The sequence below is a fragment of the Homo sapiens genome, chromosome X (assembly GCF_000001405.40).
Source record: "Homo sapiens chromosome X, GRCh38.p14 Primary Assembly".
Classification (NCBI taxonomy): Eukaryota; Metazoa; Chordata; class Mammalia; order Primates; family Hominidae; genus Homo; species Homo sapiens.
Genome location: NC_000023.11, coordinates 9021275 through 9036074, shown reverse-complemented (window position 1 = coordinate 9036074; position 14800 = coordinate 9021275). Strand labels below are relative to the sequence as shown.

General features: G+C 35.4%; 1 protein-coding gene across 2 annotated transcripts; it reads left to right on the top strand.

Annotated features, from left to right (window-relative positions):
* Nucleotides 1-1947: 1947 nt before the first annotated feature.
* FAM9B (family with sequence similarity 9 member B) lies at nucleotides 1948-11843 on the top strand. 2 transcript variants are annotated; one of them, NM_205849.3, is made up of 9 exons: nucleotides 1948-2223; nucleotides 3000-3116; nucleotides 3614-3734; nucleotides 3914-3945; nucleotides 5715-5814; nucleotides 6657-6768; nucleotides 8109-8207; nucleotides 10492-10591; nucleotides 10698-11843. In NM_205849.3, exons 2-8 carry the CDS (start codon nucleotides 3089-3091, stop codon nucleotides 10558-10560), a joined length of 561 nt encoding a protein of 186 aa, NP_995321.1. In that variant the 5' UTR covers nucleotides 1948-2223; nucleotides 3000-3088; the 3' UTR covers nucleotides 10561-10591; nucleotides 10698-11843. The 2 variants fall into 2 exon arrangements, with proteins under 2 accessions (NP_995321.1, XP_047297838.1); XM_047441882.1 differs by lacking the exons at nucleotides 1948-2223; nucleotides 6657-6768; nucleotides 8109-8207; nucleotides 10492-10591; nucleotides 10698-11843 and having other exon boundaries at nucleotides 2792-3116; nucleotides 5479-5800.
* Nucleotides 11844-14800: the final 2957 nt, after the last annotated feature.

The following is a 14800-nucleotide window of genomic DNA, read 5'->3' as shown; positions in this document are numbered from 1 at the left end:
ATGTTGGTGTGCTGCACCCATTAACTCGTCATTTAGCATTAGGTATATTTCCTAATGCTATCCCTCCCCTCTCCCCCCACCCCACAACAGTCCGCGGAGTGTGATGTTCCCCTTCCTGTGTCCATGTGTTCTCATTGTTCAATTCCCAGCTATGAGTGAGAACATGCGGTGTTTGGTTTTTTGTCCTTGCGATAGTTTGCTGAGAATGAAGTCTTTCTAATTTTTTAATCTTTTGGGAAACTGTAGGTAGAATAGAAGATAGTAGTGGCCAAGGAAGTACTATAGGATGTGGTGAGGGTTCATTGGTTGAAAGTGAAAGAAAATGCTCACTCTACTGCCAAGAGAGCAATTTAAGATACTATGCCTGTATCCAAGACAATACATTTGTATTTGGTCTCTCCTGGACAGACGGAGCTTAAACTCTCATATCACTGTTCATTTTCATTGATTGTTTTGCTTTTATTTTCTACGGTTTTGGGTTTAGGCACATTGATGCTGTGTTAAGCACAAAATGATTCATGTGAGATTGTCAGAGTAGATTGTGCCCTTCTCTTGTTCAGTGTACTCTGCCTTTAGTTTATTCATTTATTTTTTGCATTATTTTACATTCATGAGATATCAATTCTCAGATCCATATTTTCCTTTTCTTCATATTTTTCTGATATGTACTTTTTGTATCATTTTGTTTAATTCCATTCTTACATACAGCATATACTTAGGTTTTTATTTTGATCCAAGTTGGAAGTCATTTCCTTTAGAATGCGAGTTTATCTCATTCATATTTCTTGCTCAACAGATTCACTTGGCCTTAATTCTGTTCTTTTATGTTATGTTATGGTCTCTGTAGTATTTTCTTTATTTTCCAACTTTTACTACAGGATTTGTATGCTTTGTGTGTGCTCTTTTTGGTTATATAGGCATTTAAGGCTGTGGATTAGTTTTCCTGATGACTGCCTTTATAATTTCAATAGTATAATGAAACTCTGTATCTTGATTTACAAACTTTAGGCAATATTTATTCACTCCCAACTCCGAAACAACTCTCTCCCTATTACAGGGGATCGGAGGTGGGAAAAAGCTGAGTTAACGATAAGTATTAAGGCATTAATTTGTGGGTGAAGGTTGTGGCATATGTCTGGATAAGTCTGGAGTATGAAGGTTTGTGGGCAAGTCTGGGGCATGAGGATGAGAAAGAAAAGTAGTGAGGAAACAAAAAAGGTTATGGGCTGGGCACGGTGGCTCACGCCTGTAATCCCAGCACTTTGGGAGGCCAAGGCATGCGGATCAACTGAGGTCAGGAGTTCGAGACCAGCCTGGACAACATGGTGAAACCCTGTCTCTACCGAATATGCAATAATAATAATAACAACAACAACAACAACAACAACAACAACAACAACAACAACAGGGCGTGGTGTTGGGCTCCTGTAATCCCAGCTCCTCGGGAGGCTGAGGCAGGAGAATCGCTGGAACCTGGGAAGGGGAGATTGCAGTGAGCTGAGATCTTGCCACTGCACTCCAGCCTGGGCAATAGAGTGAGACTCAGTCTCAAAAACCAACAAACACAAACGATAAAAGCACAATCCATTGATTAAAAAGGACGCAGCTGGGCATGTTGGAAGCACACAGGGCATGGGAGGGAGCCTGGGCTCCACCCACAGGGTGATGGCCATTCTAGCCAAAGGGGCAGGGGTGGCTGGAACAAGCCCCAGGGCGAGGTTCTAGGCCCTGTCCACTTGGCCTCCATCCCAAGTCCTTGTGTCTCTCCCCAGGAGGAGAAGCTGAAAGATTGTGGGGACAGAGGCCCCAAAGGGCCACCCCCACCCCAGTCCACAGCAACCACGGGCTGTCACTTAGGGGAAGGGTGAGGGCGTGCCAGCAGGGGGCCTGGCCCCACACAGCCCGTCACACGCATGTGCACTGAGCCGACCAATCAGCGAGGAGCGCAGGAAGTCCTGCCTGCAGCTCTCACGAGAACTGAGGACCCGTTTTCTTTACTTTTCTTTTTTTTTGTTTTTTTGTTTTGTTTTTTTTGGGACGGAGTCTGGCTCTTGCTGCCTAGGCTGCAGTGCAGTGGTGTGATCTGGGCTCACTGCAACCTCCGCCTCCTGGGTTCAAGCAATTCTCCTGCCTCAGCTTCCTGAGAGGACCCGTTTTCTAAGAGGTCCTAGTGGTGCCGCTGCCTGCAGGTTCTTTGAGGGCGCCACATCAGGGGTCCCTCAGGTGAAGCACTCGTGGTGGGGAGGCGGGAACGCAGGCACGAGGCCCTCTGGGAACCAGGGTGTGAAGCGCTGGGCAGCCCGCCGACCTGTGAGGAAATGGCCCCAGCGTCGTCGCCTGGGGCCTGGGTCAGGGCGAGGCCCTGAGGGTGGGCTAGGGTGGGCTGGGGTGGGCCAGGGCAGGGAGGGAGCTGGAGCTGCCTGGGTGATCCCTAGGGCCCGGGAGGGTCCTGGGGGCTTGTGCATGTGTTGGGGGGAGGGGCCGAGGGGGGGAGAAGTGGGAGTGAGGCGGGGGTGTTGTGGGGGACAGTCTGAGTGGGGCCCTCCTGCCTGGCCGCCCGACAGGACAGGACACTTGGGGTCACCGGGGGTCACCGGGGGTCCCCTGTGCGTCCAGGGGGGCGAGTGGCAGTGCAGCCCCTGACATTCCCCTAGAGGTGGCTGGGGAGATCCTGTGTCACCCAGCGGCCCTCCCAGCCACATGGGGTCGCTAGGTGACTCAGAGGTAGGGCTGAGTTCTGTCCCAAAAGGGCGGCGAGGATCCCGCAGAGGCCGTGGAGTTCAGGTGTGAGGGGCAGCTGTGAGCTTTGCAGCCAGCCCCGGGGACGGGCTGGACGGGCCAGGACAGGAGGGGACACTGGCATCTTTTCCGTCCCTTCCTGCTCCCACATGAGACCCAGGGCGGGCCAGCCCCACCCTTCTTGAACCTGTGATCCCAATGGCTTTCCTTTCCGATGCCAGGTTTCCTTAGCTTCCTTAGTGTGTCTTTGCGCTCACCAGGTTCGGGGATCGCCTCTAGCTTCCCAGGACAACCAGCCACGGATCCTGTGGGCAGGAGGGCTGCCAAGGCCCAGTTGGAGGCTCAATTTATGGCGGCCTGGGGGAAGAAGCATGCAGGTAAATACAGCCCAAGGGGACCCAGAAGAAGGTGCACGCCCAAGAGGACGGTCTGTCTGCTTTCTGCGCTGGGGGCACAGGGGCAGCCCGAGGCCCCAGGCCCCTTCGTGGCTCTGGAGTCCATTGTGCACGTGCTAAGATGCGCCAGGTTTTCAAAGCAGGCTCAAGGGCCTTAGGCTTCCCCGTGGAAGGCTCCCCCTCATAGCAGGGTTACAGATGCTCTCAGAGCAGCTCTTCTCCATGGGTGCAGTCCTGACATCCAAGGGGTCTGAACTGTAGTACGTTGTTTACTGGAACCTGAACCCGAAGGGCTTCCAAAAGTCCCTCGATAAAATGGTCAGGAACCGGTGATTCCATGTATAGCTCTGCTTTAAAGCTTTAATTGGCAGAGAGCCCCCCCCCCCCAAAAAAGTCTACAACTAGTACATTTCTCCACAAAAAATGTCCACAGCAGCATCTTCCTCTAAAAAAGGTTTGTCTTTTACATTTTAATGCAGGAAAGGATCCAGTCCGTGATGAATGTGAGGAAAGAAACCGTTTTACAGAAACAAGGGAGGAAGATGTAACTGATGAGCATGGGGAAAGAGAACCTTTTGCTGAAACAGATGAACACACGGGGTAAAGTGTTTAAGTCACTTTTGCCTGTCGGATAGGGTCTTTTAGGAAAAGTCAGCTTTGGACCATGTCATCACTGTTCTATTCTATGCAGAACATTTCACATAAGACATTTCTTTTCCCAACAAACATGGCATTTTGTGTAGTATTTTGTTAAAATTTTGATGTAACTTTTTTTACAGGGCTAATACCAAGAAGCCAGAAGATACTGCAGGTATGTTTTAGGAGTTATCTGTAGTTTATGAAAATTGTTTTCAGTCATACAACTGTTGCAGTAGGTTATATGAATTAGTGGACGACAAGACTGTCTTAAATGGCTTCTCATATGTAGCATTTAACGTACGTATTTAATGTAATCTATTTGATAAATTTTTCTTACCTTTTTGATTGTTGATGTGGAATGTGAGAATGCTTCTAATAATGGTGAAGCGAGATGGATGGCTTTTCTTTCATACATGTGGAAATTTAATTGTTTGGAGGATATTAGAGGACAGTGGAGGAGAAACAGCTCTATTCGTTCCTTTTAGTATACACAGATTAAGTCATATATCAATGGTTTTTTTTAGCTTTTACTTTAAGTTTGGGGGTACATGTGGAGGTTTGTTATGTAGATAAATTGCATGTCACAGGGTTTTGGTATACAGATTATTTTGTCACCCAGTTTATAAGCATAGTACCTGATGGGTGGTCTTTGATCCTCACCCTCCTCCTACCCTCCACCCTCAAGTAGGCCCAGTTGTCTGTTGTTCCTCTCTTCCTGTCCGTCTGTACTCAGAGTTTTTAATATGAGTTTTTCATGTTCCTAATTTAGCTGTTCTATTGTCACAGCTTTCTGATTTTGTTTTCTTTAAAGTACAAGAGAAAATTGAATTTTCTAAAATCATTTTCTATTATTATTCCAGTAATAAACTGTGTAGTAGAAAAGTAAGGACAACTTTTCTACCTAGTGAGAAACATGTAATTGGCTCCAAAAACTCATAAACTTTATATTGCTGTGTGAAATATTAGTTACACTCTTATAGGACCATATTTTCAAAAAAGTTTGAGAAAATTTCTGTAGAGATGATGGAGACAATACTCTTATTTTTAAAAAGCTCAATTCAGTTTTCAGCTCTTCTCTAGCGATGATTCATACAAGCAGTATATTTGGAAAGCTTGGTGACAAAGTGCTGGTTTTGTGAGCTGCCTAATACATTGGGCATTATAGATGGAGACTGTATGTAAAAAATATTTGCATTGTGGTACAAATCTTTTATGATTGCTGAAAATTATTCTTAGCAATTGATGGTAGAGCTCTGATGTGAAATCATGTTTAGGAAAGCATTCCTTGCAGTATTACAGTTTTCTGAAACACAGCACTATGGGTACAAATGTCATAAAAAGCTCCAAGAAAACATTTCAAAAGTGTTTTTGAATGTATTTCTTTACCTAAACCTAAATTTTTATACTCATGGCCATTGCTTCTTTTATTAAAATACAGTTAATAGCATCAATCACTAGATTGCTTAAAAATGCTTTTCTTATTGTGCATTAAGTTATTTCTACCCTTTTGAGGGTTCTATTATATAAGATACTTTTTTGTGTGCTTTACGTAATGAATTGTGCAGTATTTCATGGAAGCATCTCCTTTGAATTGTAGGACATTTTATAAATGTAGAAATTAAAGTCTGTGCTTATAACTCTTTCTGCACATTTAAAAAATAGAGACTTTTAATTATTTGCTTTTTTTCATCATCTGTCAATTAAGTGATTTTCAGTTATACCAACTGGAATTGAAATGCGAATGTTAATACCTGAAAGGTTTTACAGAAAATAAGTGAGTAAATCTTGCTTTTTGAAATGATCTTTGCATTTTATATTTTAAATATCCTTCTGAAATTGCTGAACCATAAAGTCCCATATTGATGTCAGTATATGCAAAGAAACTACTTTTCAACATTAACTTTTAATCCATTTTCATTTACTATCTAACTGACATTAAAGAGGATCTTACTGCAAAAAGAAAAAGGATGAAAATGGATAAAACTTGCAGCAAAACAAAGAACAAAAGTAAACATGCTTTGAGAAAAAAGCAACTTAAAAGGTATGACTGTTGGCTTTTTTGCATAATGATATTTATATCATTTCTTTGTATTAGTTGGTGCAAATAATTTCAAAAACTATCCTGTACATATTGGCGTCTCTAGTGAACAACATATTTTACTTGATTGTTCTCTAAGTAGGTAAGTTTCTTTAGTTTTATAACCTCAGTTTAACAGAATTAAGAGATATTACCTAGAAGCCAATGAAGATGACCTCTTTTTGCCTTCCAGATAAAAATAGCCTTCTTGTAAAATTAATGTTTATCCATTTCTAGAAATATGGTAGCTGCATATAAGATAAATGTTCTCAATGTTTAGTCTGTAGATCCTTAACGATACTCAATTATGTAGAAAGGGATAACCTTATGTTGTAAATAAGTTATCTATTTTAGTTAAATTGTTTTCACTATTTCTTTTACAAAATCATTGGTGTGCCAAAGTGGAGAAATAGTTAAGTGAAGTTTTTCTTTTGGGAAATCTTATGGGATGAATGGCTATGATATTCTTGAACCTACTTATGAGAACCCATATGTTATTCAGTAAGAGGAAATGGAAAGTAAACTGCTCTTAGAGAAAATGTTTCTGGGAAAGTTATAGTGCAGTAAACCCTCCTTTGTCTTCAGCAGGTAAAGAATGTAAGATAGCTGCTCTAGTAGTCAGGAAGAAAAGAATCCTTTCAAAATGAGAGTAACTCATTTCACTTTTTTCCAAAAAGAAGATTTCAGCTGCTATTACTCCCTTGCTACTTTATAGTATAAATTATGTCAAGTCAGTTTGGGTTTGAATAGGATTAATTTTTCATCTCTCTATGACGTATGACCGTGTTACTTATTATGTGTTACAGGCAGAAACGTGATTATATACATTCTCTGAAGTTGCTAAATGTCCTTGAAGAATACATCACAGACGAGCAGAAAGAGGAAGAAGAAGAAGAGGGAGAAGAGGAAGAACTAATTGTTGGTATCATGCTTAGCTTTATGTATAACCTGTTATGTCAGTGTCTCAGGTAGTAATAGTTCATGCAGAAATCCAGCAAAGAAGGAAGAGCGCATGAGCCCAGAGAGGGGGGCCCGTTAGTGGACTAATGGACTAGGGGAATATAATTGCCACGCAGCATTAGGGGTCCAACTGAAGTCAGCATCATAACGATGAAGAAGTTAAAGTAAGCCCAGTTGGCATATTTGTGCAAGCACAGCTGTAGGGTTGGAATTTCCTGGGTCGGGGTGTAGCCGAGCAGATTGATAGAGGGAGAGTTGGGCAGGGAATAGATGCAGAGATGGGGATATGATGACTGGCTGTGGAATTTCAGCTGGGACTGAGTTATCTGAGCACACGGGAGTGGGCAATGGGCAGTAAAAAGTGCTCCATTCAGTGGGTGTCAGGTCCCAACAGACTCCTGAGCTGTAGTACTGAAGTGAGTGACCTACGATGGCAGGGAGGTAGTGGCTGTATGTTGGGAAGTTGGAGAAACAGCTGAGTGCAGTGGTCAAGGGCTGGGACTATGCATCCACACTGCTTGGGATTCTAGCTTGACCATTGCTAGCTCGGAAACCATGGAAAAATTATTTATCTCAGCTTGACCATTGCTAGCTCGGAAACCATGGGCAAATTATCTTATCTACGAAAGGAGACATGGTAAGAGTACCTACGTCAGAGTTGTTTGGAGGATCAAAGGGTTTCTGTGTAACAGGTTTATTTAAGTTTTTCAGGATGTGATCTGACCCATGGTTGCTCTTTATCATTGCTATTATTAATATTACGTAGGTGTTGAAGTCATTGGGAATGACAAAATCTAGGGGATGACTGTGTGAGTGAGTGCCACGTAGAGGAGAGGAGAACACTGTTGTTGGAGATTAGGTCAGGGTGCAGAAAGGCAATCATTATTGGGTGGTTCATCTATGTGCATATTGAAATGACCGAGATTTAATACATGCTTAAAATCTTAGAAAGAATTTTTCTTAGTTAATTTCTGTATAGATCTTACCTATCTGTGGTCAACAAATTATAGGAAGGTTCATCAAATACTCTTCATTGGAAATCAAGAATTAGGACATATGTGTTGAATGTGTAAAAGTAAGAAAATTCTTTACTTAATGACTGATAAAAAAGGTTAATACATCATTTTAGCATGTTATTGGTGAACACAATTGTTTAAAATTGGTCCTAAATGTTGTCTAAAAGAAAGTGTTCAGAGGTATTGATTTAAACAGTATTCCTTTAAAGCTAATGCAGAATTATGTTTTGTAAGTATTAAAATTTACCCAATTTTTATCACTATTTTGTTTTGGGATTCTAGAGAATATTTCAAGAACAACAGAAGAAGTGGCAACAATATAGAAGTGTTAGGAGAGAGAGGCTGAAAGAGATGAAGCTGCTACGTGACCAATTCGTAAAGGTCTGTTCTATTTGGTAACATAATACATTATAAAATACAACACGTGCATAATAGAAGACAGTCTGCTTGTTTCTGAATGTATGGAAAGACATTTGATTATACATTTCAAATTACTTAGCATTTTCACTTTGAATGTATTGTTCCAGATATAATATAATTGGTAAATGTATTTTTAGGATTCATGAATAGTTTGTGGGAGTTATTTAGAACAGGAAAAGGTAAATTGGAAATTTTACCTAGAAATACACATCTTATGTATAAAATTGACACTTTATTAACACATTAACCTATTTATGCCAGAGGTTGCAAATTTTTTTTGTGTGTGAAAAATCAGACCTTGGCCATGACCTTGAGCAGTAGGATATATATGATTCCCACAAGCTTAGCGTTCCAATAATGGAACACTAGGCATAAATGGGTTTTAATGAAGATTTTATTTTCAGTTTTCAGGACATCAATGACAAATCTATGGTGGAAGGCAAGAGGTCCATAAATCCTTTCTGGATGGCTTTTTTACTTGTGTTGTTTCAAGAGTTTTAGTTAAATAGGAAGTAGGCAAGCGTAACTACTGTGTGTCTTTTTTATTTCTTGCTGAAACACAGGAGTGTTTTATGGCATATTCACTTACAAAATTATTAGTAATGGTTCTACATGACAATTTGTAATCATAAGAGATGGTTCAGATGTATAACAGAATGGGAAAGCCAGCAGATTATTAACACGTTGTGAATTGCGAATTATCTGCTGTTGTACAGCACATTAGCAAATTATCATCAGACAATGACCTCTTCTTCATGTAGATGTAGATAATTTAGGAAGCAGTGGAATCTTTTTTGGGGAGATCTGGTATTCTTTTTAATAACCTTGGAAAAGACATGTTCATATGTCACTTCTCTACACTAACTGAGATGTGTTAAATAAACTGGGAAAAGAGTTTGAAAATAAAATTTTCAAGCAACTTGAGGATTATCTATACACAAACAGTTATTTAAATAGAAGTTACAAGTAGAGAACATGTTGCTATAATGTTCTCCAGATACCATTTATTAATTGGTATGAACATGAGACTAGTAGTTTTCCTGTCAGTATTAATGTTTCATGTTACCACTTAGGTTAGGAACTTTGCTATCATCTTGGACTCTTCTGAGTTCATTATCCTTCCCATGTAGTTATCACGAGGCAAGTTTTACCTCTGCAATGGTCCTTTAATTTCTTTCTTTAAATTCCCACTGCGGCTACCCTAGTCCAAGACCTCATTCTTCCTTACCTGTACTATTAAACTCTTTTCTGAGTTCTCTCTTCTCTTCTGAGCCATCCTTCATTGATTGGCAATATTATCTTTCTAAAACCCTTCCCTTCCTAAAATGCTTCCCAGCCCTTCCGTCTTCCCAGCCTGTCAGTGATGCCCCGTCTCAGTTCTTAGATATTCAGAGACTCTCCCCTTTACATGACCCCCTCTTAGGCTTGTTTTGCCGCCTTCTGTCTTTCCTCCCACTTCTCCAGGTTGACCGCCTTCCCTGAAGGAACTCACCGTTACTCCCATGCTTTGCTCATGCTCTTCCCTCACAATACTTTTAAAATCTTTTTTTGACTGATTGAAACCTTTCGCCAACTAAATCAACATCAGTCTCCATTTTTGGCTACATGCCCGAGTGAGTTGCCCTTCCATAGCAGTTACACAAGTTTTGTATTACTTGTTTTTTATTTGTGCATTTGCTCATGTCATAGAAATACGGAAGATTGTGTATTCATTTTTTACATCTTCCTCAGCATTAACCTACAACATTTTAGGGAGTAGGAACTGTTGAACTATTTGTTGAGTAAAGAGTATATATTTCAAACACAGTTACGTTTTCTCTAACTTGATGAGGTCATATCACCAACCATTTTATCCCTTCAATGGAAACCATGTTATGTAGGCTATTGCTGATAATACATGGGTCGCTACCTGCTGAAAAAAAATATAATATTTCATGATATAAGCCTGCCCGTCTTTTTCTGTCTTCGCTCCATCTTGACCTTAAGATGTTCTTCAACCCATTTTATTTAAGCAAAGTACATGACTGTTAGACCTGCTAAAATAATATGTCACTGAAATCTGGCATTAAAAAATTTAATTGGGTATTTGGAGCTCCATGTATTGATTATAGTTTTTTCTATTTGAAATGAATAACTGGCATCCTTTGAATATTAAAAGCTGTTTCCTTTTGACATTTAATTAACCCTGTTTAAAATGCGAGATATAAAGTGGTGGTTTGTCAGTGAACTAGACTTTTTCTTTTAGGCTCTTGAGGACTTTGAAGACCTTTGTGACAGAGTTTTTTCCGATGAAGACAGTGAACTTGATAACTAGACATGTTTTTAAATAAAATCATGTCAGAACTGTAAGTAGTGCATATTTAATATTAAAAACTCAGGATTGATGTAGCACTGGAATATTTTATTTGCAGAAATGTGTATTACAGTTACTTAAATTTTTTTTTGAAACAGCTTTTGGAAAAGTTGGCACTTACCCAGTTGTCTCTTCAACCTCTGTTATTCTGATGACTGAAGAAAGAACTTGAACCTATGTTATATGATACAAGCACAACTTGAGCTACAGTAAACTACATGACAGTGTTTTGATAATTGTTGTATAAATCGGTATAGCTCCTCTGTCACTCGTCTGTTAAATGCCAGACCTCGTTTCTATGATCTGTTGAATGAATCCTAGACACTTCTGTGAGAAAGCAGGGATTGCATAGTTATGTACACGGTCAATTAAATTTTAACATTAAAGATAATTTAGATTTCGATTTGGCCTCTGTGGATTTGTATCAGTTCCAAAAATGTAGAAAGCACAGGCATAGAAAAGTACATTTTTCTCTAATAAAAGAAGACAATATCTGCTGGGTGTGGTGGCTCACGCCTGTAATCCCAGCACTTTGGGAGGCCGAGGGGAGTGGATCACTTGAGGTCAGGAGTTTGAGACCAGCCTGGCCAACATGGTGAAACCCCATCTCTGCTAAAAATACCAAAATTACCCGGGCGTGGTGGCACGCACGTGTAGTTCCAGCTACTCAGGAAGCTGAGGCAGGAGGATCTCTTGAACCCGGGAGTTGGAGGTTGCAGTAAGCCAAGATTGTGCCACTGCACTCCAGCCTGGGCGACAGAGCAAGACTCTTTCTCAGAAAACAAGAAGAAGAAGACAAAAGCTATCTTATCTGTGCGTTCTTTTGTATTTACTCATTAGGATAAAGAGGCAATTCCAATGAAAGTAGGACTTCAAAAAATAGATATACTCTATGGCCATATCAAAATTATTAAAAGCACCTTACTGTCTGTGTTCTTAAAAAAAATTATACTGCTGTAAATGATTAAGGCAACTGAGCAAGATATATTAATATCAGTGCTGAGCCACTGGTTTGTGGGTATGTCATTTCCACAGACATCAAAATGCTATTTAGTTTGTTTTGGTCCATCATTCAATGATACCTCCCCTTAGAATTGAATGAAAGCATTTTGTTAACATTTATGTATGCTTACAATTATTTCACATCTGTGGCAAGGTAAATTTTGTAGAGTGCTTTGTTTATCCAGTTTAATATTCGTGGATTATGTGGAAGTTTATATGGACATCTAAAAACTTGAATGATGAATTCGCCTGCCTTTCCTTTTTTTAATGTGCAGTTTTCACATGTAACAACATATAACAAACATGTAAAAAGATTTTTTGCATGTAACATGTTAAAAAGATGTACATGTTTTTACATGTAAAACAATTTTACATGTAACATGTAAAAAAAGAAATGTTCATTTGGAAACACTTTATTTAGTAAATATGAAATTCAGAATATATATGGAGTAAGTGAAGTAAATGTATTCTTTTGCCAAGTTTCTGAAATTCCATTCATGAATCCTTCAAAACACAGTACTCCCATTGGGAGGAGAGGAGTGACTTCCTCTCATTTTTCCTCGTGCTATTTATGTTAATTGGCCCCTGTATACCACTCACCTTTTCTGGGTTTTCCAAGTTTAAGAAAAAAAACAAGTTCATTCAGATTGTGTTTTTCTGCCTGCAGTCACGTATACAGCAATAAGTGAGTCCCTATGGGGAGCATTTAATTCCTAAAGTTTGCATTTTCATAAAGGATTTTCCTTTTACCCAAAGCGTGTGTTGGTACTACTAAGTACTATGAAGTACTACTTTAAGTTTCTAAAAAGATCCTTATTTGAGATCTCTTTCAGTAGTTACAGAGCCAAAATAAGCACTGCAGAGGTCCATGTCTGAGTTCTGTTGTACATCCTGGGTTATCTGACTACTATTTACTCTATAGTGGAAGGACAAGAAAGAGGCCACAGTGTACTTAATGATGGAACAGTTGATGTTTATGCCACCCCTTACTACCTCAAATGAGTAACTGTGTACTTGAAGTCATATTATTTTTAGAGACCAGGTGTCGCTCTGGCCCAGCCAGAATGCAGTGGTACGATCATAGCTCATTGCAACCTTGACCTCCTGGGCTCAAGCAATCCTCTCACCTGAGCCTTCAGAGTGGCTGGTACCACAGGTGTGTGCACCACATCCAACTTATTTATAATATATTATATATTATATATTATACATAATATATTATATATTATATATTATACATAATATATTATATATTATATATTATACATAATATAATATATATTATATATTATACATAATATAATATATATTATATCTTATACATAATATAATATATATTATATATTATACATAATATAATATATATTATATCTTATACATAATATAATATATATTATATCTTATACATAATATAATATATATTATATCTTATACATAATATAATATATATTATATCTTATACATAATATAATATATATTATATCTTATACATAATATAATATATATTATATCTTATACATAATATAATATATATTATATCTTATACATAATATAATATATATTATATCTTATACATAATATAATATATATTATATCTTATACATAATATAATATATATTATATCTTATACATAATATAATATATATTATATCTTATACATAATATAATATATATTATATCTTATACATAATATAATATATATTATATCTTATACATAATATAATATATATTATATCTTATACATAATATATATTATATCTTATACATAATATATATTATATCTTATACATAATATAATATATATTATATCTTATACATAATATAATATATATTATATCTTATACATAATATAATATATATTATATCTTATACATAATATAATATATATTATATCTTATACATAATATAATATATATTATATCTTATACATAATATAATATATATTATATCTTATACATAATATAATATATATTATATCTTATACATAATATAATATATATCTTATACATAATATAATATATATCTTATACATAATATAATATATATTATATCTTATACATAATATAATATATATTATATCTTATACATAATATAATATATATTATATCTTATACATAATATATAATATATTATATCTTATACATAATATATAATATATTATATATTATACATAATATATAATATATTATATATTATACATAATATAATATATTATATATTATACATAATATAATATATATTATATATTATACATAATATAATATATATTATATATTATACATAATATATATTATATATTATATATTATACATAATATAATATATATTATATATTATACATAATGTAATATATATTATATATTATACATAATGTAATATATATTATATATTATACATAATGTAATATATATTATATATTATACATAATGTAATATATATTATATATTATACATAATGTAATATATATTATATATTATACATAATGTAATATATATTATATATTATACATAATGTAATATATATTATATATTATACATAATGTAATATATATTATATATTATACATAATGTAATATATATTATATATTATACATAATGTAATATATATTATATATTATACATAATGTAATATATATTATATATTATACATAATGTAATATATATTATATATTATACATAATGTAATATATATTATATATTATACATAATATATATTATATTATATATAATATCTATAGCATAATTATATAATATCTATAGCATAATTATAATTATGCTTTATATATTATATATATCTAATATATTAGATATATATAATATGTATAGCATAATTATATATAATATGTAATACAAATTTTATATATATAATATATATAATATATATTTTATATATATAATTTTTATTACATATAATATATATTTTATATATATAATTTGTATTACATATTATATATATTATATATTATATTAATTATATATAATATATAATATATAATATAATATATATAATATATATAATATATAATATATAATATAATATATATAATATATATAATATATTATATATAATATATATAATATATATAATATATTATATATAATATATATAATATAATATATTATATATAATATATATAATATAATATATTATATATAATATATATAATATAATATATTATATATTATATATATAATATAATA